This window comes from Homo sapiens, chromosome 10, assembly GCF_000001405.40.
Source record: "Homo sapiens chromosome 10, GRCh38.p14 Primary Assembly".
Taxonomy (NCBI): Eukaryota; Metazoa; Chordata; class Mammalia; order Primates; family Hominidae; genus Homo; species Homo sapiens.
Window position 1 is genome coordinate 103,960,798 of NC_000010.11, and position 27,000 is coordinate 103,987,797.

Sequence of the window (27,000 nt, forward strand, 5' to 3'; positions counted from 1 at the left end):
GGAAGACACTGGGCTAGATGTAGGAGGTACAAGGATGAGCATGACTGTCCCTGCCCTCTAAATGCTTTCCGTCTAGGAGAAACATACACAGCCTCCCATACATATGCAGATATATACACGCTCACATACAAACACATTCACACATACCCATACACACATATTCGTACACATACACACGTTCACACAATATGTACATGCATGCTCACACATGCATACACCCTCAGTACTATACACTCACACATATACACACATATGTATTAACATATGAACACATATATACATATATATCCACATATACACACTCACATGCATACATACATACATACGTGGGAGCTGAGCTGACAAAGTGGAGACAGTGAGTAGAATGTTTTCAATTTAGAGGAAGGAGAAAGACATAGCATTGGCAACGATCCTGTGAGACGACTATGGCAAAATCTCAAGGAGGCTAAGTAGACCGTCTTAGTGGAGTTGTTAAATACTGGAGAGTTAGGTTTTCCGAGATCTGGATTCAAGTGAAAATCTGCCATTACTACCCGTGAGGCCATAACCAAGTTACATAACTCACTGCCTTAGTTTCCTCTCTTTTACATAGGGATTATCATAGTACCTATTTCATGAGGTTGCCATGAGGTTTAAATGAGATGATGCATGTAAACCACTAAGCACAATGTACTAAATTTCCATTTATTTATTTATTTATTTAGAGATAGGGTCTCTGTGTTGTCCAAGCTGGAGTGCAGTGGTGCTATCATAGCCCGCTGCAGCCTCAAACTCCTGGCCTCAAGCTCCCGAGTAGCTGGTGCATAACATCACACCCAGCTAATTTTATTTTTGTAGAGACGAGGTCTTGCCATATTGCCCAGGCTGGTCTTAAACTCCCGGCCTCAAACGATCCTCCTGCCTAGGCCACCCAAAGTGCTTGGATTACAGGTATGAGCCACCGTGCCCAGCCTAAATTTCCAGTTTGTGATGATATCCTTATTATTACCAGAGAAGATTATTTACCAGGTAAATTGTGAAGATAGTATTCCTCTCACCAAGCTGCTTAGTGAGAAAATATTAAACTATTTTTAAGGTGGGTAGAGCCAAAAATTATGTATTAAATGAATTTATTTGCATACCAAAGTATAATCCAAAAAAATTTTTTAAAAAATGAATACATGATCGCTGCTTCATCTTTACTTTTAAAGTTCTAAAAATTCAGGAAAGCCAAATTATCATTTATAAATAACACAAACATCTACATGTCATGGCCTTCACTGGGAATATCTGATCTGACTAAATGACATCACACCCAGTGTTACTAAGTAATTTCTGTGGCTATAACTTCATGGTGAAAATATATAAGCTATTATTAACTCTGTGATCATTTCATCAAAGTATGTTAGACTTGCTCATGTCATTTATAGAATACTGACAAACATTATTTGATATTATTCGTTGATATGATTAGGCAATTCATAAAATAAGAAATAAAAGTGGCCAATATACAAATGGAAAAGTATTACATCATTAATAATCAGATAATTCTAAATTAAGATAAGTTATTTTGGGGCTATTAGCTTGGTAAAGATTAATGGATAGGCCAGGTGCGGTGGCTCATGCCTGTAATCCCAGCTCTTTGGGAGGCCGAGGTGGGCAGATCACTTGAGGTCAGGAGTTCGAGACCAGCCTGGCCAACATAGTGAAACCCTGTCTCTACTGAAAATACAAAAAATTAGCCAGTTGTGGTGGCAGGCGCCTGTAATCCAAGCTGCTTGGGAGGCTGAGGCAGGAGAATTGCTTGAACCCAGGAGGTGGAGGTTGCAGTGAGCCGAGATCATACCACTGCACTCCAGCCTGGGTGACAGAGCAAGACTCTGCCTCAAAAAAAAAAAAAAAAAAAAAAAGATGGATAATACCTTGTTGCTATTGAGGGTGTGGTGAAATTTGACACTCTCATATGTCAACATTTTTCTTTTTCTTTTTTTCTTTTTGAGACAGGGCCTTGCTCGGTCACCCAGGCTCATGTGCAGTGGCACGATCGTGTCTCACTGCAGCCTTGACCTCCTGGGCTCAAGTGATCCTCCCTCCCGTCTCAGTCTCTCATGTAGCTGGGACTACAGGTATGAGCCACCATGTTTGGCTAATTTTTTTATTTTTTGTAGAAATGAGGGTCTCACTATATTGCCCAGGCTGGTCTGGAACTCCTGGGCTCAAGCAAACCTGCTGGCTCAGTCTCCCAAAGCGCTGAGATTAGAGGCATGAGCCACCATGTTTGGCCACCAATCTTTTTAGAGGCCAGTTAGGCAATACAGAGCAAAAACATTTTTAATATGATCTTTGACTCATCAATTCCACTTCTTGAATTGTGTCTTCAGGGAATATAATCAGACAAATACACAAAGATGCTTGTATATGCACACTAACTGTGGAATTGTTTATGATGACAAAAAAATTGGAAACTACCTAGATGCCTGTCATGCCTGTCAATACAGAAATGCTTAAATAAATTATGGTATAGTTAGACACTAGAACTCTGTGCAGCTATTAAAAAAGGATTAGACAGATCTATTTGGGATGGCTTGGAAAGATGTCAACGATCTGTATTGGATGATGCCAGTTTTATATCTTAACAGATATACATGCGGCCAGGTGCAGTGGCTAACACCTGTAATCCCAGCACTTCGGGAGGCCGAGGTGGGCAGAATACTTGAGGTCAGGAGTTTAGGGCCAGCCTGGCCAACATGGCAAAACCCTGTCTCTACTAAAAATACAAAAAATTAGCCGGGCTTGGTGGTGTGCGCCTGTGATCCCAGCTACTCAAGAGGCTGAGGAGGAGAATTGCTTGAACCCAGGTGGTGGAGGTTGCAGTGAGCCGAGATCACACCACTGCACTCCAGCCTTGGCGACAGACGGAAACTTCATCTTAAAAAATATATATATATATATATTTATATATATATATATATACACACATACACATACATACACACAGAAAAAAACATATATAGGCCTAACTTTTTCAAAGTAGCTTTATTGAGGTATAATTTACAAAGCATATAATTCACCCATTCTAAGTGTAAAATCATCACCATAATCTAGTTATAAAACCCTTTTTTATTGTCCCCCAAAATTCTCTCATGCTCATGGGCTTAACTTTTTTTATTTGGCCATGTATTATGTTATTAAAAGGAAAAGCTTTTACAAGAGGCTCATTTCCATTTCTTTTTTTCATAATATATGAAAAAATTTATGATAATATTTCTATTTCTTTTTTTTTTTTTTTGAGACAGGGTCTAGCTCTGTCGCCCAGGTGAAGTGCAGTGGCACGATCTCAGGTCACTGCAACCTCCGCCTCCCAGGTTCAAGCGATTCTCCTGCCTCAGCCTCCCGAGTAGCTGGGATTACAGATGCATGACACCACACCCGGCTAATTTTTGTATTTTTGTTAGAGACGGGGTATTGCCATGTTGGCCATGCTCATCTCAAACTCCTGACCTGAGGTGATCCACCCACCTCAGCCTCTCAAATTGCTGGGATTACAGGTGTGAGCCCCCGTGCCCAGCCTATTTCTATTTCTTAATGGTGTCAGAACTTTATCTTTGCTTTGCTAGTGACTTTTTAAAAACCACTTATTGAATTATGATTGACATACAATAAGCTGCTCATACTTAATGTATATAACTAGATGAGCTGGGTGATAACTGTACATCACCACTGCCTATTACATAAACATATCCATCATCACAGGCTTAACTTTTAACAGTGGTTAGGTCGAGGGTAACTATGAGTAGGGGGGAAGGAAGGAGGACAGAACTATAGACAGCTTCCTAGTTTATAATTTCTGTATTATTTGAATTATTTACAACAAAAATATACTATCTTTCATTTTTATTTTTTCTTCGAGACAAGTTCTAGCTCTGTTGCCCAGGCTGACGTGCAGTGGCACAAACATGGCTCACTGCAGCCTCATCCTCTTGGGCCCAAGTGATCCTCCTGCCTCAGCCTCCCCAGTAGCTGAGACCACAGGTGAGTGCCACCATGCCCAGCTAATTTTTCTGTTTTTAATTTTTGGTAGATGTGATCTCGCCATGTTGCCCAGTCTGGTCTCAAATTCCTGGGCTCAAGAAATCCTCCCACCTCAGCCTGGGATTATAGGTGTGAGCCACCCCACCCAGCCAGTAATACACTATCTTTTAATTGACAAAATAGTAAAGTCTTTTCTATTTTGAAAAGAACAAAATAAGGAAACAGACATATACCCATTGACCGAAATCTACTTTTGGCAATTTATCCTAAGGAAATAATCAAATATGTGGAAAAAGATTTGTGTACAAAGATATTTATCCGTATTTTATTAAAAACAGAGGAATTATAATCTAAATATCTCATAATGGAAGAGAACAATTATTAATTGTATTGAAATATGCGAAGTGCAGGATGCAAACCTTTTTATGTAATACAACCTCAACCATGTTGAAAAAAGTTAATGCACAACCAAAAAAATCCTGTTTTGAAATATAAGTTCTTATCAATGGTTGTGTCTGGATAGTAGAATTATAGTACTTTTAATTTAATTTTATTTTTTAAGCATTTCATTTTCTCCATAAATGATAATAATTACAAATAATTATAGTATTGTTTTCACAGGTCTATACATTTGTCAAAACATATAAAAGTGCACACTTGCAGCAAACCACCATGGCACGTGTATACCTATGTAACAAACCTGCACGTTCTGCATGTGTATCCCAGAACTTAAAGTATAATTTTAAAAAAAAGCAAACAAGTACTAGCAAAAAAACCAAATGCACACTTTAAATATGTACAGTTTATTGTATATCAATATATTGCAATAACACTTAAAAAAATAGAAGGATCTCAAGGAATTGAATCATCTTAAGCGTCTTACTGGAAGGGGGGTTTTGCTATGCCATTTTGGGGCTGAAGGGCAAAATGACTGGGGGGGCAGACATTATATAAATAGCAATATATACATACATTGTCTCTGCTCCAGATACCGCCATTCATTCATTCATTCACCAGATCTGCCTTCCTATTATATGCCAGGAATGTTGCCGGGTACTTGGATATCTTGATGAACAACAAACCACTGGCCTGAAAGAGCTCCCGTCTGGTGGAGGAGGGGAAGGTAGGTCACCACCTGACGGATTCCAGCCAACGTCCACACTGCCCCACCAGGGAGTGCTGCCCAAGGGGGCTGGAGGCAGATCAGGAAGTGGGGGCCTTAGCTGAGGTGGAGTCACCAAGAGTGACACCAGGTTTACAGTTGTGGAGGTGGCCAGAAGTTAGTTTTACCCTCAAGGGAGTGTCGCAGTCATCAGTTGAGAAGTGGGGGCCCGGCGCGGTGGCTCACGCCAGTACTTTGGGAGGCCGAGGCGGGCGGATCACGAGGTCAGGAGATCGAGACCATCCTGGCTAACACGGTGAAACCCCGTCTCTACTAAAAATACAAAAAAATTAGCGGGGCGTGGTGGCGGGCGCCTGTAGTCCCAGCTACTCGGGAGGCTGAGGCAGGAGAATAGCGTGAAGCCGGGAGGCGGAGCTTGCGGTGAGCCTAGTTCGCGCCACTGCACTCCAGCCTGGGCGACAGATCGAGACTCCGTCTCAAAAAAAAAAAAAAAAAAAAAAAAAGAAAGAAAGAAAAAAAAGAGAAGTGGTCTTAAACAGTTTTTATGTATCTGTGTCTATCTTGCCTGCACACTTAAAACAACAAGAGTAAGAACTAAGATTGAGCGTTTACGGGTGCAGGGGCCGCGCAAAGGGCTTCCATCTATTGTCTCATTCACAACCTTCTGGTAGGGACTATTAGGATCTTCATTTTACGGCGAGGAAACCGAGGCTCGGAGAGGTCACCTGCCCAAGGTCACAGATCTCTCTCTCCAAAGCTCAAGCTCACAACCACCACACAAACTCCCCTCTCACTGTACCTGGGGCCCGTCTGAGAGCGAAAAAGTCCGCTTTCAGGTCCCAACCCTAACAGGTCCGGCTTTCACTCCACAGTTTTTCCCAGATCCAGAATGGAGACAACATCCGCTAGCACAATCAACAGGGTCGTCCCACGGGGGCCGCTCCATCAAGGCCGTGGACTGACAGGATTTGGGGCTTGGAGGGCAAATGAGAAACAATCGTCAGGGACCGAAGAACAAATGCGTCCATCACACCAGCCCCCCGCACCCCGAGCCCCGTGCTCCGCTCACGCGAACCCTCGGGGGCAGCCAGTCTGAGGGACGTAGCGCGCGTGCGCGGGGCCAGAGGGGACGCCCCCACGCGAGCGCGCGGTGAGCAGGGCGCGTGACCGGGCGGGCGCGCAGCCGGGAAAGCGCGCGGGCGCGCTACGGAGTCGGCGTCGGCGCGCGCTCCAGGCCGAGGCTGTGTGGGCTGGGGAGGGAGACAGGCGGCGGCGGCGGCGCCCCAGACCCGAGGGGACGCGCGGGCCTTGCGCCGCGGGAGCGGACGGCGGCGGAGGAGACCCTAGGCTCGCGGCCCGAGGCGGGAGGGCTCGGCTTCTCGACTGCCCGCCTCCGAGGCCGCCGGCCGCTTCTCTCTCCCAGAGTGGCCGCCGCCCCTGGAGACTCGCCGTGACACGGGCCTAAGCCGCCGCCGCGGGAGTCCTGACCGCTCGGACCCGTCGGATCAGGCCGGGTGGGAGCGAGCTTGCGGGCAGGTGCCGCTCCCGGAGGGTGGGCCGGAGGCGAGGCGCCCACCGCGCGGCTCGCGGGCCGGGCTCGGCGGAGGGGCCGCTCGCGCAGCACCCCCACCGCGGGCCGGAGCCCGGGTCGCCGCCCCGCCTTCTCCCGGGACCGCCCGGCCGGAGCTGCGGGGGCCGAGGGACGCCGCGCCCGCCGCCGCCAGCCGGGCTCGCGCGGGAGAGCAGGGAAGAGAAACTTTGCCTTTTATTGTTTTTAGTCCTTAAGTGCAAGGAACTCTGTGTTGGGAGGAAAAATGTCCTTCTTCAATTTCCGTAAGATCTTCAAGTTGGGGAGCGAGAAGAAGAAGAAGCAGTACGAACACGTGAAGAGGGACCTGAACCCCGAAGACTTTTGGGAGATTATAGGAGAACTGGGCGACGGAGCCTTTGGGAAAGTGTACAAGGTAAGAGGGGGAAAACGGGAAGTTGTACTGCGAAGGTAAAACAGCCACTGGCCTGGAGTGGCGGGAGGACTTCTGCTCCCCTGGTCCTTATCCTGTCCTTCTTTTGACTGTTACGGTTCGATGCAACTTTACTTGGCTGATCATCCAAGGAGTAGCTAAGAAGTCGGGTTTACGGTGGAACAAAATGGGGCCTGGATGGAGTTTAAAGAGCGATTGGAAAAGGAGACAGGGTTATAAAGTCTACTCTTTCAAACTTCAAAGGAAATGAGAGTGTTCTTTAATTTATAGGAGGGGTCTGGTTGTGCCCTTCAAGTATTTTAGAATGAGAAACTCATTGCACTTTGCAGTGGATTTGTCTACTGACTGCATTCGCGTGCATGCTTGTACTCCAACAGTTCTGTTTTTAGGGTCCAGTATATATATTTGGTTGTATCTAGAGCTAATACAGAACTAGTTGGGATCAAAGTGATTGCTACTTGCAGTCTCTTCTTGAGTTAGTTGCTTGACAGCATACTATAAAATAGAATGGAATTTCTGACAAAATTTCCAAAAAACCTTCATGTGGTACTAGTTTTAAATATATTTATGGTAAGCATTGACTAGAAGTCAGTATCAGCGCTTAAGCAGTTAAAAACACACACGCATGTATTTATTTCAATAGAAAGAGGCTTGGCGTTTCAACCTGAAGGCATTAATGTTAACTATTTAATATCTCCTAAGGAACATATGAATGATGTCATTGGAGTATTTTCATCCTGAAGGGCGAATTTTTTATGAGACAGCGTTTAGGGGAAGGACCCACAGGGTTGCCTAGAAGTGAAAACGTAAGAAAATAACTTATGTTTATACAGGACTTTGAAGTTTTTAAGTACTTTCAAATAATTTGGCCCCCACAAAAATCTTGTGAGGTAGGCAGGTCAGTATTAGTATCCACATTTCACAGATGAAGATATTGAAATTGTTCACAGTCACATGAGTCTCAGCCTAGACTTGAACTCAGGTCTTCTGAGCCCATATTTAGTATTGTTTTTTATTTTAACAGTCACTGGTAGAAATGAGAGCATTTTGCCTACTACTTTCTTTTTTTTTTGAGACGGAGTTTCGCCCCTTTTGCCCAGGCTGGAGTGCAATAGCGCGATCTCGGCTCACTGCAACCTCCCCCTCCCGGGTTCAAGCGATTCTCCTGCCTCAGCCTCCCGTAGTAGCTGGGTTTACAGGCATACGCCACCATGCCCGGCTAATTTTGTATTTTTAGTAGAGACAGGGTTTCTCCATGTTGGTCAGGCTGGTCTTGAACTCCCGACCTCAGGTGATCCGCCCGCCTCGGCCTCCCAAAGTGCTAGGATTACAGGCGTGAGCCACCGTCCCCGGCTGCCTACTACTTTCTAAGCACCATTACACTTCTGCCTCTGCCCTGCCTCAAATGCATCTTGTCAAAACCCCAGTCCTCATTCTTTATCCAGGCTAAAATATCTACTCCTCTCTGTGTGCTTTCAGAACACGTTGTTCACATGGCTATTATAGCACTTGTCACTTATTACAATTAATATGTTTATGTTTCTATAATAAAATTAAGGGCCAAAATTATGATACATATTTGGGTTCATTCACTGCCTTAGCGTATAGTGATGTGTCTGTTTATTTGTTGAAATGAAAGAATGTGTTTTGTCTGCATATGAATGCTGTCGTGGAAGCTATCATAGGCTGTGGAAGTTGGCAAAATAAGCTTTGTTATTTGTGTGGAGGGTAGAGTATGGGCTTCAGCAAGAGCTTCATAAGATGCAAGGCTTCATTGTAGTGGGAAGATCACTCCTGGGAATCAAGAGTTGTGTTTTAGTGCTGGCTGTCACAAACCAGCGTTGTAATCCTGGACAAAACACTTAACTTCTCTGGACCTCCGTTTTCTTAGCCATAATATTAACTTTCTTAGGAGTTTAGATTCTTTCACCCATTAAAGTTCTGTGAGTATGTAATTAGCCTGGAAAGGCAAAAATAAATGCTCAAGGCACCTAGAATCTTGTAGTTAGAAGGTGGTAGGTGATTATGGGCAGTTTTCATGGTGTAAATAAGTTTTATCGAATATAAACAGCTTAGTAGTAAGAGCACTGGCTCTGGAGTTGGAATATAACTTAGCTCTCTCACTCAATAGCAGCATATGACCTTGAGCAAGTTTCTTATTTGTCCTGTGCCTAACTTTGCTCATCCATAAGACATCCTCAGTGTGAGGATTGAAAAAGATAATATAAGGCACATGGAAAGGGCTCAGTAAATGGTAGAAATTACTGTTATTACATTTAGAGCTCATAGATGCAAACTTTGGGATGAGATAGGGAAAGGAACCAAGAAGATAATAAACCATTTTGTTGGTTTCTAATGGCATGGGCAGACTGTGTGGAGATACTAAAGCCCTGTGTTATTCTTTCATGACACTTTCTGCAAAATGTGATCTATCTTCCTGTACTGAGACATTAATTGAAAAATTTCTGAAGAACAAGAGTCTTATTTCATGTAGTTATTTGAGCACTATAAAATTGTGTCAAGGAGAATTTCTGTGATCTTGATGACTGTATTTTAGTATGATATTTGAAGAGCACGGGCTGGCACTATTTTTTCTTTTTTCATTTCACTACTCTCTGCTTCTAAGGAGTAGGGTATGAGTTTTTTAAAAAATAAAATTTGAAATTAAAACTTATCTGTCTTCTTATGGCCTCTTTTTTCTAAAAGTTTTTGTTTTTCAAGATTCCATAGAAATTGAGGATTTATAAACTTCCTTATATTTGGAAGAAAAAGCTATGGAACCTTAACATAGTACGTAGTAGTATGTAGTAGAAAACTGTTTATAAACTTGATTCTAACTATCATTTGCTTACAGAAATTAGTAACTGTTACAAAGATTATATTGTAAATAGAGATGAGGTTGAGTATCCCATTTCCCAAATGCTTGGGACCAGAAGTGTTTTGGATTTTGGAATTTTTTGGATTTTGGAATATTTGCATTATACTTAGTTATTGAACATCTGAAATTGAAAATGCTCTAGTGATCATTTCCTTTGAACATCATGTCATGTTAGCACTCAGAAAGTTTCAGATTTTGGAGCATTTCAGATTAGATTTTCAGATTTGGGATGTGTAACCTATAGGTAATCATGTTGTGTATTTAGTCTGAGTCATTCTTCCATCGTGTACTTGTTGTATTCCTTCCACTCAGTCCAGCACTGTACACATTTAACAGTTACTTCCTTGCCTGAAAAAGCTTCACTACTTTAAATTTATTTTCTCTTTTAAAAATAGTATTATTTGACATATAAATGAAGATATGTAATATCCTTCACAATATTTTATCTTTGGGTTTCTCTTTTTTTGTTGTTGTTGTTTTGTTTGTGTTTTGTTTTGTTTTGAGATGGAGTCCCTCTCTGTCGCCCAGGCTGCAGTGCTGTGGCGCAATCTCGGCTCACTGCAACCTCCGCCTCCCAGGTTCAAGCAATTCTCCTGCCTCAGCCTCCGGAGTAGTTGGGATTACAGGCACGCACCACCGTGCCGGGCTAATTTTTTGTATTTTTAGTAGAGACGGGGTTTCACCATGTTTGCCAGGGTGGTCTTTCCTGACCTCAGGTGATCCGCCTGCCTTGGCCTCCCAAAGTGTTGGGATTAGAGGCATGAGCCACTGCCCCTCACCCCCTGCTGGATTTCTCTTGTTTTTAACAGAAAAAAAAGAATGACATAAGATTATGAATTGAATTGCATTTCTAGAAAGCTATTTTATCTATTAAACCAGTTGAAACTAAACTCTTGGCTGTGTGCTGGATGAAAGTAGTTTTTATATGACAACTGATGGCTGTGTGCCTTTTAAAAAATAGTAAAATATATAATCTTTGTATTAAAAAGTATGGAAACATATACATTTAGCAGATAATAAAGTGAATTATTATTAACAACTGTCAGTGTCAAGGAATTCTGCTAACATCCGAGAATCCCTCTTGCCTCCTTTCTGTATCTAATATCTTCTCTCTCCCTAAAGGAAACCACTATCCTATCTTTAAGTTATTCATTTATTTGCTTTTCTTAATCATTTACTATCTAGGATTATATCCCTAAATGTTATAAATTTAGTTTTGTATGCACTTGAACTTTATATGAATGGAATCATATTGAACATATTCTTTTGTGTCTTGCCTCTTTCAAAGTCAGTATTGTGTTTGTGAGGTTCATCTTTATCACATAGAGCTGTAGTTCTTTTTCGTTGTAGCATTGTATTCTATTATATGATGATATCACCAATTATTTACTATTGTACAATTAATGGATATATTGGTTGCTTCCAGTTTTTGGCTCTTACACAAAACGGTAGTTGCACATATACATGAGTTTCACTAAGAGTTAATCCAGGAATGGAATTGCTAGGTTATAGGGTAGTGTATCTTTAATTTTACCAGATGATGCCAAACTAATTATACAAGTTTACATTCCCACCAGCAGTTGAAGAATTTCCTTGCCCTGCCAGGCGCGGTGGCTCATGCCTGTATTCCCAGCACTTTGGGAGGCCGAGGCGGGCGGATCACGAAGTCAGGAGATCGAGACCATCCTGGCTAACACGGTGAAACCCCGTCTCTACTAAAAATACAAAAAATTAGCCGGGCGTGGTGGCAGGAGCCTGTAGTCCCAGCTACTCGGGAGGCTGAGGCAGGAGAATGGCGTGAACCCGGGAGGAGGAGCTTGCAGTGAGCCGGGATCGCACCACTGCACTCCAGCCTGGGCGAAAGAGCAAGACTCCGTCTCAAAAAAAAAAAAAAATTTCCTTGCTCTGCATCTTTGCTAACATTTAATATTGTCAGAATTTTAAAGTTTTGACAGGCTGATAATGTGTTACATTTCTCATTGTGCATTTAATTCACCTTTCACAGATTACTAAAAGTAATTCTTTTAATATGTTTTTGGTAATTTGAATTTCTTCTTTTGTGTTCAAGTCTCTTATCCATTTTTCTCTTGAAGTCTTTGTTTGTATGTTGATTGTGTGTGTGTACAATATATGTGTTTTGAATTTTAACCATTTGCTGGTGATAGTTATTGCTAATATAGTCTCATTCTGAGACCTGTCTTTTCATTCTCACTGTAGTGTCTTTTTATGAATTCTTTAACATGGTCCAATTTGTTAGTTTTTTCCTTTACAGTTGATGCTTTTTGTGTTATGTTTAAGACATTTCTTCCTAATGTGTGATCATGAAGATAATCTTCTATATTATCTTCTAAAAGCTTTATGATTTTGCTTTTCTTTAACAATTAGATCTATAATCTACCTAGAATAGATGTTTGTAAATGGTATGAGGTAGGGGTCCAGTTTCATTTTTTTCCCCATATGGATACACAATTGTCCCAGAACTATTTGCTGGGAAGAAAAATAATTCCCCACTGCTCTGCAGTGCCCTGTTATGTAGCATGTGTCTGTTTCTGCATTCTCCGTTCTCTTCATTGATCTATTTGTCTATTCCTATACCAGTATCCCACTGTCTTAATTAGGAAAGAATTAAAATAAATTTCTGCTGCTTCTTCAACATAGTTTAGTAGTATTGTTGGCCCTTAGGGCTTCTATGTACATTTTCCAGTTAGCCTGGTTGAGTGCCACAAAAAATCTGTGTTTTTTTGGAGAGATTTCATTGAATTTATAAATCAGTTTTGGAAAAATTAACCTCTCTTTGATATTGAGTCTTCCCACCTGTGCATGTTTTATCTCTGTTTAGGTCTTTTTTACTATCTTAATAATGAGTTACAGTTTTTTTCCCTAGAAGTGGGAACACAAACTACTTCAAGGATGTTTTAAATACTTTGTTTTTCCTGTTAGAATTTCCTCCTTGTTTTTGTTGTGTACAACCTTTAGTAGCCTTCTGAGAAAGGATCCATGGAAAACATATTTTTTAAGAACTTGCCTGTCTAAATATGTCTTTATTATAAGGTCACAACTTAATATATATAATTCTAGTTCAAAAGTAAGTTTTTAAAGAATTTTTAAGATTTAGAATTTGTTAGTTTTGAAGACTTTCTTCCATTCATTATCTTTTGGCTGCAAGAGTTGCTGTTGAATGTCTGATGCCATTTGGCTTCCTGGATCCTTTGCCATCTTTTTCTCTTAATAGCCTTTAGGATTTTCTTTTATCCTCTGTTCGTGGTGATGTACTTTGATATAGGTCTTTTCTTCTTCTTTCGTTTTGCTGTGCTCTTGGTTGGTCCTTTCAATCCAAAGACTTATGTCCTTCAGTTCTGTGACATTTTCTTGTATTATTTATTTGACAGCCTCCACCCACCACTTCCCCCAATAATGACTCTTGCCATGGTCTTAAGATTCTTCATGTCCCTAAATTCAGGGGACACTTACCATCTTACTTGACCTGTCATTACCATTTGAGATACTTGGCCATTCTTTCCTTTAAAAAGTTCATCTTGGCCGGGCGCGGTGGCTCACGCTTGTAATCCCAGCACTTTGGGAGGCCGAGGCGGGTGGATCACGAGGTCAGGAGATCGAGACCATCCTGGCTAACACGGTGAAACCCCGTCTCTACTAAAAATACAAAAAAAAAATTAGCCGGGCGTGATGGCGGGCGCCTGTAGTCCCAGCTACTCGGGAGGCTGAGGCAGGAGAATGGCGTGAACCCGGGAGGCGGAGCTTGCAGTGAGCCGAGATTGCGCCACTGCACTCCCGCCTGGGCCACAGAGCGAGACTCCGTCTCAAAAAAAAAAAAAAAAAAAAAAAAAAGTTCATCTTTTGGCCTTTTTTTTTTTTTGAGATGGAGTCTCGCTCTGTCGCCCAGGCTGGAGTGCAGTGGCGCGATCTCGGCTCACTGCAAGCTCTGCCTCCCGGGTTCACGCCATTCTCCTGCCTCAGCCTCCCGAGTAGGTGGGACTACAGGTGCCTGCTACCACGCCCGGCTAATTTTTTCTATTTTTTTTTTTTTTTTTTTTTTTTAGTAGAGACAGGGTTTCACCATGTTGGCCAGGATGGTCGCGATCTCTTGACCTCATGATCCACCCGCCTCGGCCTCCCAAAGTGCTGGGATTACAGGTGTGAGCCATCTCACCTGGCCCGTCTTTTGGCTTTTAAGTCACCATACTCTTGATTTTCCTTCCACCTCTGTGTCTGTTCGTCACACTCCTTTGCTGGTTCTTCCTCTTTCTGACTTTAAGGTGTGGGAATTCCACAGGGCTTGGGTATAGGCCACCTTCTCCTTTTCTTAAGAGAACCGGTCTTCTCCCATGGCTTCAATTACCATCTAAGTGCAATTTCTATCTTTACCCTAAGACCTCCCTTTTGAACTCCAGATCCACACATCCAACTGTCTATTAGAGATTTCTGCTTGGATGTCTCACAGATACCTTAAACTGCAAGTCCAAAACATGAACTAATTCAGCTCATGATGTCAGTCACAAATTTGCTCCTTCTGTCTTCCCACTCAGTAATTACCACTTCCATCTACCAGTTGCATAGGCCAGAGACCTAGAGGTCATTTTTAACACCTGTTGCTGCCTTCCCCGCCAAACCTAATTAAACACCAAGGCCTGTTAATTCTACCTACTAAATATTTCTCAAAAATACTTCTTTCTTTCTTCACTGTCATTTCACTAGTCAAAGCTGCTATCATCTCTTAGACTACTGCAGTCTTATTGGTATGTTTTTGGGCTTCATATAATCATTTACATGATTCTTTTAATCCTGTAATCATTTAATATATTCCTTTGTGTTGGGCTTCTTTTGCCAAACATTATATGAATGAGTTTCATCCATGTTGTTGCATGTAGTAGTAATTTGATCTTTTTCTTTGCTTTATGGTATTTTATGAAATATTATAGTTTATCCATTCTGTAGTATTTGGATTGTTTTCACTTTTTGTATGTTAAAAATATGATTCACGGCCCGGTGCAGGGGCTCACGCCTGTAATCCCAGCACTTTGGGATGCCAAGGTGGGAGGGTCACTTGAGCCCAGGAGTTCAAGACCAGCCTGGGCAACATAGGGAGACCCCATCTTTATTTGTTTTATTATTATTATTTTTTCTTGAGACAGAGTCTCACCTCTGTCATCCAGGCCGGAGTGCAGTGGCGCGATCAACTCCCCAGGCTCAGGTGATCCTCCCACCCCAGCCTCCCAAGTAGCTGGGACTGTAGGCACCTGCTACCATGCCCAGCTAATTTTTATATTTTTTGTAGAGACGGGATTTTGCCATGTTGCCCAGGCTGGTCTCAAATTCTTAGGCTCAAGTGATCTGCCCACCTCGGCCTCCCAAATTGCTAAGATTACAGGTGTGAGCCACCATGTCCAGCCTTAAATTTTTTAAATTAAAAACCAAAAAATACGATTCATGAATATTCTTGTGCCTTTTGGTGCACATGTGCCATTATTTCTGTTGGATATATACCGGGAAGGAATTTTCTAGGTCATAGGTTATACATATCTTCCAAAGCGGTTGTACCAATTTACACTCCCATCAGTAGGGTATGGGAGTTTTCCCAGTTGCTCTGTGTCTTCACTTACACTTGGTATTGTTATTAATATTATCTTTAATGTTTTTTGTTAGCCATTCTGTTGAGTATAAGTGGTTTTATTTACATTTTCCTGATGACTAATGAAGTTGAGTGCCTTTTTATGTGCTTATTCAATATTTGGGTATCTTTTTTTGGTGGAATTCCTGGTTATTTGCCCAATTAAAAAAAAAAAGCTCTATTTTGAGGTATAATTTATATACCACAAAATTCACCCATATAATTTTGTGAGTTTTAGTAAATCTGTATAGTTTTGCAGCCATTACTACAATCCAGCTTTGGAAGCTTTCTGTCACCCCCCGAAAGTTCTCATGTGCCTATTTTGCAGTCTGTCTCTATTCCCACACCAAGCTCAAGATAGCCCTTACTTGCTTTCGGAATGGCTCTGTAATTTTGCCTTTTCTAGAATTTTTTAATAAGTGGAAACATACAATATGTATTCTTAATATGTATGGCTTTTTGCACTTAGCACAGGGTTTCTCAGTGTTGGCACTACAGCCGTTTTGGACAGGATAATCCTTTTTTGTGGAGGGCTGTCCTATGCACTGTAGGATGCATCCCTGACCCTACCCCTTTGTGACAACCTAAAATACTTCCAGACATTGCCAAATGTCTCCTGGATGGCAAAATCAGCACCACTGGTTGAGTGTAATTTTTCAGGATTCATCTGTGTTATTCATTTGTCTATTAAAATTTTTGGTTATTTATATTTTCCTTAATGATTTGTAGGATATGAGGTCCTTTTTCCACAATGTAGATTGCTTTTCATTTATTTAATTCTTTTTCCTGATCCATAGAGGTATTTTTAAATTAGAAAATAAATTTATTAGAAAACAAAGGTTGAAAATAAACAGAATGAACAAACTCTATTTTTGCTTGCCCCAAAACCTCAATAAAAACTGTTATCTGGCCAGGTGCAGTGACTCATGCCTGTAATCCCAGCACTTTATAAGTTTGAGGCAGTAGGATTGCTTGAGCCCAGGAATTCAAGAACAGCCTGGGCAACATAGCGAGACCCCATGTCTACGGAAAGTAGTAAAAAAACTTAGCTGGGCATGATGGCACTCACCTGTGGTCACAGCTGCTGGAGAGGCTGAAGTGGGAGGATCCCTTGAACTTGGTGGAGGCTGCAGTGAGCTGTGATTGTGCCACTGCACTCCAGCCTTGGTGACAGAGCAAGACCTCGTCTCAAACAACAACAGCAAACAACTATTATCTCTTAAAATTTTAATATTTTTTCATATAAGTTCTGCATTTCCTTGTTAAATTTTTGCCTTGATAGTTTATCTTTCCAGCTACTATTTTGAATGGGATAGTTCTTCCATTATGTTTTGCAATTATTGTTTGGATATAAGAAAGCTATTAATTACTATTCTATAATATCTTAACCTTATTGAGTGCTCTTATTGTTTATTTTCCCCTCAACATTGAAGTTTTTCAATCCTATAAAAATGTTGATATGTAAAAAAAGTTGTATAGAGAACATACACATATCAACTACCTAGATTCTACAGCTGTTCATATTTTGCTATACTGACTTTATTACACACGTCTATCCATCCATTCATCCATTTATCCATTCATTATCTGTTTCTCTTTTTCATTTTCTTAAGGATTTTCTCTTCTTTCAAGTATTTGTACCTTTGTTTTTTTCACTTGTCTAATTATGTTGATTAATCCTTCCTGAACAATTCTAAATAATTCGACATTGGAAATGTTAGTAATTTAGTGAATTATTTTATAATATATTTTCTGGCACAATTTTAAAGTTTTAAACTTTCCTTCTTAGTTTTCTGTTTTCTACCAGAAAGTTATTGTTTATGTGCTGACATAGACTTCTAGATAAAGTGGCATATTACTTTATTCCCATGTTTCTTATTTGTAAATCTGTATTTAAATTCACACAGATCTTTAACATAACTCTGTAACAGAAGCAGTTAATTCTTATTTTGCCAGTGTCTCTATGTCAAGGTACACTTCTGCTTGAATATAAGATGCTATTGCTGTTACTGTATGAAATGTTGCCTTTTTATTATAAAAATCTGTCACTTTTATGTACCAAAATGAGAACTGAGATGGTTTTGAAATTTCAGAAAAAATTTTAACAAAAGAACTAATCGATTCAGTGAATATATATTTTTTTTCCTTAAAGAGCAATCATTTTCAGAAGTAGTTTTTAAGTGATAATCTCATCTCAAGATAATGGGAAGAAAAATGTCAAGACCAGGGCATTTATTTTATATCCCTGTGTTTCTTACTAACGTGTTTTTTATCTGTAAGGATATAACTACTGAATGTACATATGGAGTATAAAAACAATATTTTATTGTTCTTTTAATTTATAAGATGATCAACTTTTCCAATTTACCAGCTTATCAGCTCACATTTCTTCCTATAAATCAATGCTGAAATATTAGTTAATTTGAGTGCTTTCTTTAGAAAGGGAAGGTATTTGAATCATCCCTCCTTCCATCCCTTCCTCCTTTCTTGGAAAGTGTGAGCAAAGTTAATAAATTTCATTTCTCTTTGTATGTTGTCATTTTAGCATCTCAATTTTAAAGAAATGTACTGGAAATCAAGATATTTTATTAATTTTAATTTTAATATTTTTTTGAGACAGGGTCTCACTCTGTCGCCCAGGCAGGAGTGCAGTGCCGCGATCTTGGCTCACTGCAACCTCCGCTTCCCACGTTCAAGTGATTCTCATGCCTCAGCCTCTGGAGTAGCTGGGATTACAGGCGCCCGCCACCACACCCAGCTAATTTTTGTATTTTTTAGTAGAGATGGGGTTTCGCCTTGTTGGCCAGGCTGGTCCCCAACTCCTGGGCTTAAGCTATCCGCCTGCCTTGGCCTCCCAAAGTGCTGGGATTATAGGCGTGAGCCACCGTATCCAGCCAAGATATTTTATTTTTGCTTGTAAAGCATGTTTTATTTCCAGTTGGTATGTTGTATGGCATGAGCTTTATAAAGTCTCTTAAAATTTTAAAGATCTGTGATATGGCTTATTCACATTTAAAGATAAAGTAATATTACATAATTTATTTCAGAGTATCCTGCCAAAGTTTTATAAAGAATGGCCAAGAAACTAGCATACCATATCTGATTTTGGATCTTTAAATTAACCTTGATAGAATCTTTTTTCTGGCCTGCTTTTTTTTGGTCTGTGCCCTGATGGATGTGAAGTAATATCGTCCCTGATTACTAATGAGGTTGAGCTCATTTTCATATGTTTATTGGCCATTTGGATTTCCTGTTCTCTGAAGTGATTGTTAAAGTCTTTTGGGCTCTCTTTCTTTTTCTTATTGATTTATGGGGGTCATTATACATTTTGGATACTTATCCTTTGTCCGTTATATATGAGGCACATATTTTCTTTTGCATTGTGGTTTATCTTTTCACTCTCTTTAGGATTTTCTTTTTTTGTGTAGACATTTTAAGTTTTAATATAGTCCAATTTATTAACTTTTCCCTACATGGCTAATGTTTTTGTCTTAAGAAATTCTTTCCTAACCAAGATGGTGAAGATATCCTGCTGTGTTATCTTTGTAAAGTTTTATGGTATTGCCTTCTACATTAGGTGTGTAATTAAACTGGTGTTGATTTTTGCTTATAGAGTGAGGTAAGGACCGAATTTTATTTTTTCTATGTAGATACCCAGTTGTCCCAGCACCATGTACTTTAAAGACCGTCCTTTTCTTACTGCTTTGCAATGCTTCCATCATATAATGGATGTCCGTACGCACATAGTATATTTCCATGACATTCTCTTAGGTTAAATTTTTAGGAGAATTGTTAGAGCAAAACAAATGATTATTTATTAATGCTTATTTTGAAATTACAAAATTTGTGCACATTTATTTTTCAATTTTTTAATTGTAGTAAAATACACATAAAATTTACTGTCTTGACTATTTTTTATATCCTGTGAAGATTCACCATCGTCATGATTTTTAAATGTCTAGTTCAGTGGTATTAAATACATTCGTAATGTGCAACTGTCACCACTGTCTGTCCATCATGCCTCTTATCTTTTAAAATGAAACTCTACCGTGTTAAACAGTAACTTCCTATTTCTTCCTTCCTCCTGCCCTAGGCAACTGTTCTTCTACTTTTTGATACCATGATTTTGACTATCCTAAGTACCTCATTAAATGGAATCATACAGTATTTATCATTTTGTGACTTAGTTCCTTTAGCGTAATGAGCCTTAAGGTTCATCCATGTCATAGCATATGTTAGAATTTCCTTCCTTTTTAAGGCTGAATAATATTTGTGGTATGTATATACACATTTTTCTTATCCACTCATCTATTGATGTCACTTGGATTGCTTGCATGTTTTAGCTGTTGTGTATTTAGCTACGAACGTGGGTGTACAAGTATCTCTTTGAGACCCTGCTTTCAGTTTTTTAGGGTATATACCCAGGAGTGGGATTCCTGGATCTTGTAGGAATCTATTTTTAATTTTTTGGGGGAACTGCCATATTGTTTTCTGTAGCTGTACCAATTTTACATTTCCATCGATTTGTGCACAAGAGTTCTAATTTCTCCACATCTTTACCTATACTTGTTCTTTTCATTCTTTTTTAAAGTAATAGTCATCCTAGTGGGTGTAAGGTGGTACTTATATAGTTTTGACTTATATATCTCTAATATTAGTGACGTTGAGCATCTTTTCATGTGCTTATTGGCCATTTGTATATCTTCCTGGGAGAAATACCTGTTCGGCTCCTTTGCCTATTTTTGAATTGGGCTAGTTGTGGGTTTTTTTTGTTGTTGTTGTTGTTGTTGTTGAGTTTTAGGAGTTGTCTGTATATTCTGGATATTAATCCTCATCAGATACATGATTTGTAAATATTTTCTGTCACTTTATAGGTTGCCATTTTACTGTAATATTGTCTTTTAAAATGTATAACATTTTACAATTTTCATCAAGTCCAGTTCCGTGTTTTCTTTTGTTGCCTGTGCTTTAGTGTCATATCTCAGAATTCATTGTCAAGTCCAGTATCATAAAGCTTTTGCCTCATGCTGTCTTCTGAGAGTTTTATAGTTTTAGGTCTTACATTTAGGTTTTTCTTTGGTCCATTTTGAGTTAATTTTTGTTTATGGTGTTAGGTAAGGGTCCAACTTCACTGTTTCACATGTGGATATTCAGATTTCCCAGTACCATTTTTTGAAAAGACTGTCCTTTTCTCATTGACTGGTCTTGGAACCCTTGCCAAAAATCATTAGACCATATATATGCCAGTTTTTTTTTTTCTGGTCTCTATTCCATTGGTTTATATTTCAGGACTGCACTGTTTTGATTACTGTAGCTTCGTAGTAAGTTTGAAATCAGGAAGTGTGAGTCTTCAAGCTTTGTTCTTTTTCAAGATTATTTTGGCTATTCAGGGTCCATTGAGATTCCATGTGAATTTTGGGATAGGGTTTTCTATTACTGCAAAAAATGTCATTGAGATTTTGATAGGGATTGCATTGAATCTGTAGATTGCTTTGGGTAGTATTGACATTTTAACAATATTAGGCCTCCAATATATGAACATGGGATGTGTTTTTATTTATGTCTTTGATTTCTTCCAGCATTGATTTTTTAGTTTTCATTGTACAAGTCTTTCATCTCCTTGGTTAAGTTAATTCCCAAGTGTTTTATTCTCTTTGATGCTATCGTAAATGGGATTGTTTTCCTTACTATTTAAAAGTCTTTATTTTTCTTGAATTAATTTCCAGACGTGGTACATTTTTTGTCTTATTTTAAAATATATTTTTGAAATTGTCTTTTTGTGTTCTGTTTTTCATCTTTTCCAACTATGCAATCTATGCACATTTCCTCAGCTTCTTTATTACACAGTTGTGTTTGTTTCTGCATATTCATGCTGCTCAGAGTCAATAAGTCCTTGCAATAAGCAGGAAAACTGTGTGATCTGAGAATTGGTAAAACATTTTGGAAACTGCAGACTTAGCCAAATTTAACTTATTACTGACACCATTTTGTTGCTATATTTTGACTGACCAGTGACTAAATTTTGAATACCTAACCAGAACAATATAAATAAAATAGAGTTTGGGAATGTGAAGAAAATATAAGGAGAATATAAAGTATATTTCTTTCTCTTTTGCAGATTTCAGGAAATGACATAATCCTTGGAATTTCTGTAATATTTTACAGAAATTACAGAAAGAATATGTACAGTCGATCCTCATTATTTGCAGATTTTGTATTTGTGAATTTGCCTACTTGTTAAAGTTTACTTGTAGTCCTAAAATCTATACTTGCGGCACTTACTTGGTTATTTGTGTGTATGCGCAAAGCTGCAAAAAAATTTGACTCCTCTAGCAAGCACATTCCCAGCTAAACTTGAACAAGGTGACACTGCCTTGATTTCACCTCTCATGAAGAGATGACCAGAGGACGGAGACAGCAGAGGGCAGTGTAGTGAAGTGCAAGAAGGTCTGGCTGTGGGGGCCAGTTGGATAGGGTTTGAATCCCAAGTCTGACATCTGTTTTTGGGATGGCCTTCCGCAAGTCACTTAACACTTATACACCTCATTTCTCTTTTGTAAAATAAAGAAAGGAGAATCTCCCTGGATGAATTGTTTTCAGGATTTAAGAATATAATAATCTATGTGAGGGGTGTGTGTATGTGCATGGTTTTCCCTATGAACAATGTTTCAGTAGTCGCTAATTCAGTGCTTGCAGTGATTTTATAAAACATAACTACCACAAATAATGAGAATTAACTCTGTGTGTTTGCTAAATGATGATGAATGATTTTATTCTTTTTTAATATTGATACTTGTTCCTACCAAAATCTTAGCAGGACTGAAAAGATCACCATAATTTGCATGTAATTTAAAACAGATAACAGTATGAACAGTCTAAAAGTATATGCTTCCTTCAGTGCGGTTTCCTCTCTCTTCACTTAATAGCTTTTTGGAACTTTGGATATTTATTACCCAAACGTTTACTCTACTCTGTACCTTAGCTCTCCCATCTGTGTTGCTCATAGGTTTTGAAGGATTATGCCAGTTCTTAATCTCAGTTCCAAATACGCCCTTCTATGCTTTGTGATGCTGGTTCAAAGACTGCAGATCACATTTCTGCCTTGCTAGCAGCTCATTTCTGTTTCAAAAGTATAGGGCACTAGAGGGAGGCTGCAAGGAGAAGGAGGAAGAAATGACTTACACCTTTGTCTTGTTTCCTGTGAACTTCCTGTCTGCTTGTTACTTTGACCATCACCCTTGTAGAGGTTTTTTTTTTTTTTGCTCCAGCATCAGCAGTTTCTTTCTGTAGCAGCTGTTGAATACAGTTTGTAGTTTTTCCAACACTCACAGAACTAACCTCATCATAACCCTTCATAACACCAGCACCAGTTGGCTGGTACCCTGTTCCTCAAAAGTTTGGGTCGCAGTCTCACAGGACCCCTCTTCAGAGACAACAGCACCAGCTGAGCAGCACTCTGTCCTCAGAGGTCCGTCTGAGTTTCAGCTCTGTGGAACCCTTCCTCCAAGCTTCTGAATTTTAATAATTCCAATCTTTTCCCTTTGTTCCCATAGTCCTAGGGGTGGTAGCTTTTGCCTGTAGTTGTTACCTCCCTGATCCTTTGTATTATTTTTTCAGTTGGCAACAGAGTTAGTCATTGTTTTTATTAAATTTCTCTATTAAAATAATCAATGTGATTTTCCTCCTGTCTGGACCCTAACTGATACAAGGATTAAATAAGTTACTAAATGGAAAGTGCAGAGAACAGTGCCTCTTCTAATAGCACGATGGATATTACTATATACGATAACATACTTGAAATAATTTGAGATTTTTCTTACTGATTTCTTTGCAAAATACTAATATTTCCAATTTATATAGGTAAAAACATTAAAATAATCATTGAATTTTATTGATATTAATATGCTCAAATATCACCTCGGTTAGACCTAACTTAACTACCCTATTTAAGTTGTAAACTCTGGCCTGTGTGCTCTCATACCCCATTTCCTCATCTTATTTTATGTTTTTTGAGACAGAGTCTCAGTCTGTCAACCATGCTGGAGCGCAATGGTGCAATCTTGGCTCACTGCAACCTCTCCCTCCTGGGTTCAAGTGATTCTTGTGCCTGAGCCTCCTGAGTAGCTGGGATTACAGGCGTGCACCACCACACCGTGCTAATTTTTGTATTTTTTGGTAGAGACAGTATTTCGCCATTTGTCCATGCTGGTCTCGAACTCTTGGGCCCAAGTGATCTGCCCACCTCGTCCTTCCAAAGTGCTGGGATTCCAGGCATGAGCCACCGCGCTCAGCCTTCTCATCTTTCTTATTAGTTTACTTTTTCCCACAGTACTAATTGCTAATATACTGATTTATTTGTTGACTGTCCACTCCCCAAAATTGTAAGTACCCCAGCACAGAGAGATTTTGCATATTTGCACATTGTCAGCATCTAGAACAGTAACCTAACATATAGAAGGCACTCAGTAAGTATTTGTTGGAAGAATGAATGGATTTCAGCAGATCAACTCTTTTGGTCAAGATTTGACCAAGATTTTTAATAGATTTTTATGCAGTAGTTCCCCCTTATCCGAGGTTTCACTTTCCATGGTTTTATTTACCTGCAGTCTGAAAATAGGTGAGTACAGTACAGTAAGATGTATTGAGAGACATCATTCACATAATTTTTATGATAGTATATTGTTACAGTTGTTCTATTTTATTATTATTGTTGTTAGTCTCTTACCGTGCCTAATTTATAAATTAAACTTTATCATAAGTATGTATGCAAGGAAAAAACATAGTATACATAGGGTTTAGTACTATCCAAGGTTTCCAGCATCCTCTGGGGGTCTTGGGATGTATTCCCTGGGGATAGAGGGGACGGCTGTATTACGTTTCTTTTCTAGAGCACATTTCGCTGGGGTGTTGTTTGTCTTTGTGTTTTCTGCAGCTTGGACCAGTGCCTTGTAGTGGATGTTCATGAACATTTTGAGTTGTTCGTGAACAATTTGAGTTGTTTAGTTTTTACATTTTATGGTTAAATGTTCTTACACACTGGACAATTAGGCTCTTCTTCTTTTGGTGGGGGGAAGAATACCTCAGCCTTGAGATGAAATCAACCAGATTGATAGAATCAGTCCCAGTGATTATTTTTTCTTTTTATTCCTTGTTTTTTAGATTCCTTTTGTATTTATCTTACATATTTTTTGTTTGTTTGTTTGTTTGCCTTTGATTGACTAACACCTCTGTGGGACTGAAATCATCTCTGTTTTCTGTGCTGGTCTTTCAGTTTCCAGCTAAAAATTTTATTAAAATATATTCTTCACTATGAAATACTATATAATGTTAGAAAATGTAAAAATATAGAAAGAAAATAAATGAAGATTTAAAAATTATTCCTGTACTCACCACCCAGGGAATACCTTCTGTTCAAACAAGAGTAATATGAGGGTGTAATTTTTTTAGAATATGAAACCAGTATGGAACTTTCAGACAACTTATGTTTCCCAGTATCCCTCATTTGTTTATGTAATGTGGCCAAGCTCTACTGATGATTCATGAAAATAAAAACAGTGATTTTAGGTGATCATGACTGATATTTGAAATCTTTTTATCAACAGAAGTTATATTTTTAAATTAAGATTGGGATTTGTTATTCCATTTTTGTTTTTAACATTTGTTTAGTTCAGTAGTGCCCATCCTCTTTGGCACCAGGGACTGGTTTCATGGAAGACAACTTTTCCACAGACTGGATGCGGGGATGTTTTGGGGATAATTCAAGTGTGTTATGTTTATTGTATACTTTGTTTGTATTATTACTACATTGTAATATATAATGAAATAATTACACAACTCACCATAATATAGAATTAGTGGGAGCTCTGAGCTTGTTTTCCTGCAACTAAATGTTCCCATCTTGGGCTGATGGGAGACAGTGACAGATCATCAGGCGTTAGATTCTCATAAGGAGCACACAACCTAGATCCCTCACATACGCAGTTCACAATAGGGTTCACAGTTCACGATAGAGTTCATGCTCCTCTGAGAAGCTAATGCTGCTGCTCATCTGACAGGAGACAGAGCTCAGGTGGTATTGTGAGCAATGGGGAGTGGCTCTGAATACAGATGAAGCTTTGCTTACTTGCCTGCTGCTCATCTCCTGCTATGCGGCCTGGTTCCTAACAGGCCGTGGACTGGTACTGGTTTGTGGCCCTGTGGTTGGGGAACCCCGGGTTTAGTTATTTCATTAAGCCTTTATGTGAAGAGTTTTTTTTTTTTTTTTTTTTTTTTCCCTGAGACAGAGTCTTGGTCTGTTGCCCAGGCTGGAGTGCAATGGCACGATCTCGGCTCACTGCAACCTCTATCTCCTGGGTTCAAGCAATTCTGCTGCCTCAGGCTCCCAAGTAGTTGGGATTACAGGCATCCGCCACCATGCCTGGTTAATTTTGTATTTTTAGTAGGAATGGGGTTTCACCATGTTGGCCAGGCTGGTCTTGAACTCCTGACCTTGTGATCCGCCCGCCTTGGCCTCCCAAAGTGCTGGGATTACAGGCATGAGCCACCACGCCTGGCCTATGTGAAGAGTTTTTATGCCTTTAGATATTAGGTAGATAAGCTCTTTTTTAAAAATACTTTATGTCCCAGTTATATTAGTGTAGAGAATAGTGTCACACACTTGTAAATATTTATTTCAGTTTTGTTTTTTTAAAGTTTTTTAGAACTAGATCCTGATGAGTAATCATGTTATTTTCAAGCAATAATTTGAGGCACTATTCTTTTAATGTAACTTTTATTATTTATATTAAACCAAATGATATCATTGTTGGTATAATCAATATATGACAGAATTTGTTACTGTGAGGAATTTTAGAGGTTATCTAGTGTGAGTTATTTTTCTTCCTTCATGCCAGCCCATTCACAAGTATAAAAGATACATCTTTAAAATCTCCAGGACATCAGTCAATTAATTTTAGTGGCTGCGTCATTTTTCATTGTAGAACTGTACTGCATGATTTAAGCAGGTTCCTGTTAAGTGACATTTAGGCTGATTCACTTTTTCACTATTGCAAATGGTGCTTTGATGAGTATTTTTGTATGTGCATGAATTTTATTTTATGAAATTATCTCCTTCTGATAAATTCTTAAAAGTGAGATTTAGACATTTATTTATTGAAACATTTATTAACTTTAAAAAATTTAGTATCTGTTTTTAATGTAATAAGTGGAGTTTTGCTGAAGTGATGTTAATATACATCATAGTGAAATGTCTTATAAAAACAACCTAGTTAGCATTTTAAGATCTGATTCCTAACGTTAAAAATGATCCTAGTATCTACTACATATTTGGAAACCTTTCATTTATAATAAATGATGGTGAGAAGTTAACCAAAGAAGG

At 39.3% G+C, this 27,000-nt stretch overlaps 1 protein-coding gene, 1 long non-coding RNA gene and 1 pseudogene across 12 annotated transcripts in view, besides 5 other annotated features; 1 reads left to right on the forward strand and 2 right to left on the reverse strand.

The window, feature by feature from the left end:
• Positions 1-6,248, reverse strand: part of LOC102724351 (uncharacterized) — a 29,933-nt gene extending 23,685 nt beyond the window's left edge. For 3 of the 8 annotated variants that reach the window (XR_007062282.1, XR_007062283.1, XR_007062278.1), the window contains exon 1: positions 4,984-6,248. This is a non-coding gene — a long non-coding RNA (uncharacterized LOC102724351). Of the gene's footprint in view, positions 1-4,798 lie in introns of those variants that run through there. The other 5 variants (XR_428807.3, XR_007062279.1, XR_428808.4 and 2 more) reach the window with 3 other exon arrangements.
• Positions 6,205-6,664: a silencer, noted in NCBI's record as "silent region_2792". NCBI's record gives its function as "represses an Ori minimal core promoter by ATAC-STARR-seq in GM12878 lymphoblastoid cells {active_cell/tissue: GM12878}" and the evidence as "EXISTENCE:reporter gene assay evidence [ECO:0000049][PMID:35858748]".
• The window catches only part of SLK (STE20 like kinase), a 62,094-nt gene continuing 41,436 nt past the window's right edge, over positions 6,343-27,000 (forward strand). For all 4 annotated transcript variants that reach the window (NM_014720.4, NM_001304743.2, XM_011540401.4 and 1 more), the window contains exon 1: positions 6,343-7,098. In NM_014720.4, coding sequence (NP_055535.2) covers positions 6,949-7,098 — 150 coding nt within the window. In that variant the 5' untranslated portion in view covers positions 6,343-6,948. The remainder of the gene's footprint in view (positions 7,099-27,000) is intronic.
• Positions 6,705-6,754: a silencer, noted in NCBI's record as "silent region_2793". NCBI's record gives its function as "represses an Ori minimal core promoter by ATAC-STARR-seq in GM12878 lymphoblastoid cells {active_cell/tissue: GM12878}" and the evidence as "EXISTENCE:reporter gene assay evidence [ECO:0000049][PMID:35858748]".
• Positions 6,765-6,864: a silencer, noted in NCBI's record as "silent region_2794". NCBI's record gives its function as "represses an Ori minimal core promoter by ATAC-STARR-seq in GM12878 lymphoblastoid cells {active_cell/tissue: GM12878}" and the evidence as "EXISTENCE:reporter gene assay evidence [ECO:0000049][PMID:35858748]".
• Positions 10,214-10,715: an enhancer, noted in NCBI's record as "H3K27ac hESC enhancer chr10:105730769-105731270 (GRCh37/hg19 assembly coordinates)". NCBI's record gives its function as "activates a minimal SCP1, AML or CMV promoter by ChIP-STARR-seq in primed H9 embryonic stem cells {active_cell/tissue: H9 hESC(primed)}" and the evidence as "EXISTENCE:reporter gene assay evidence [ECO:0000049][PMID:30033119]".
• Positions 10,716-11,215: an enhancer, noted in NCBI's record as "H3K27ac hESC enhancer chr10:105731271-105731770 (GRCh37/hg19 assembly coordinates)". NCBI's record gives its function as "activates a minimal SCP1, AML or CMV promoter by ChIP-STARR-seq in primed H9 embryonic stem cells {active_cell/tissue: H9 hESC(primed)}" and the evidence as "EXISTENCE:reporter gene assay evidence [ECO:0000049][PMID:30033119]".
• Positions 13,718-14,017, reverse strand: RN7SL524P (RNA, 7SL, cytoplasmic 524, pseudogene; annotated as a pseudogene).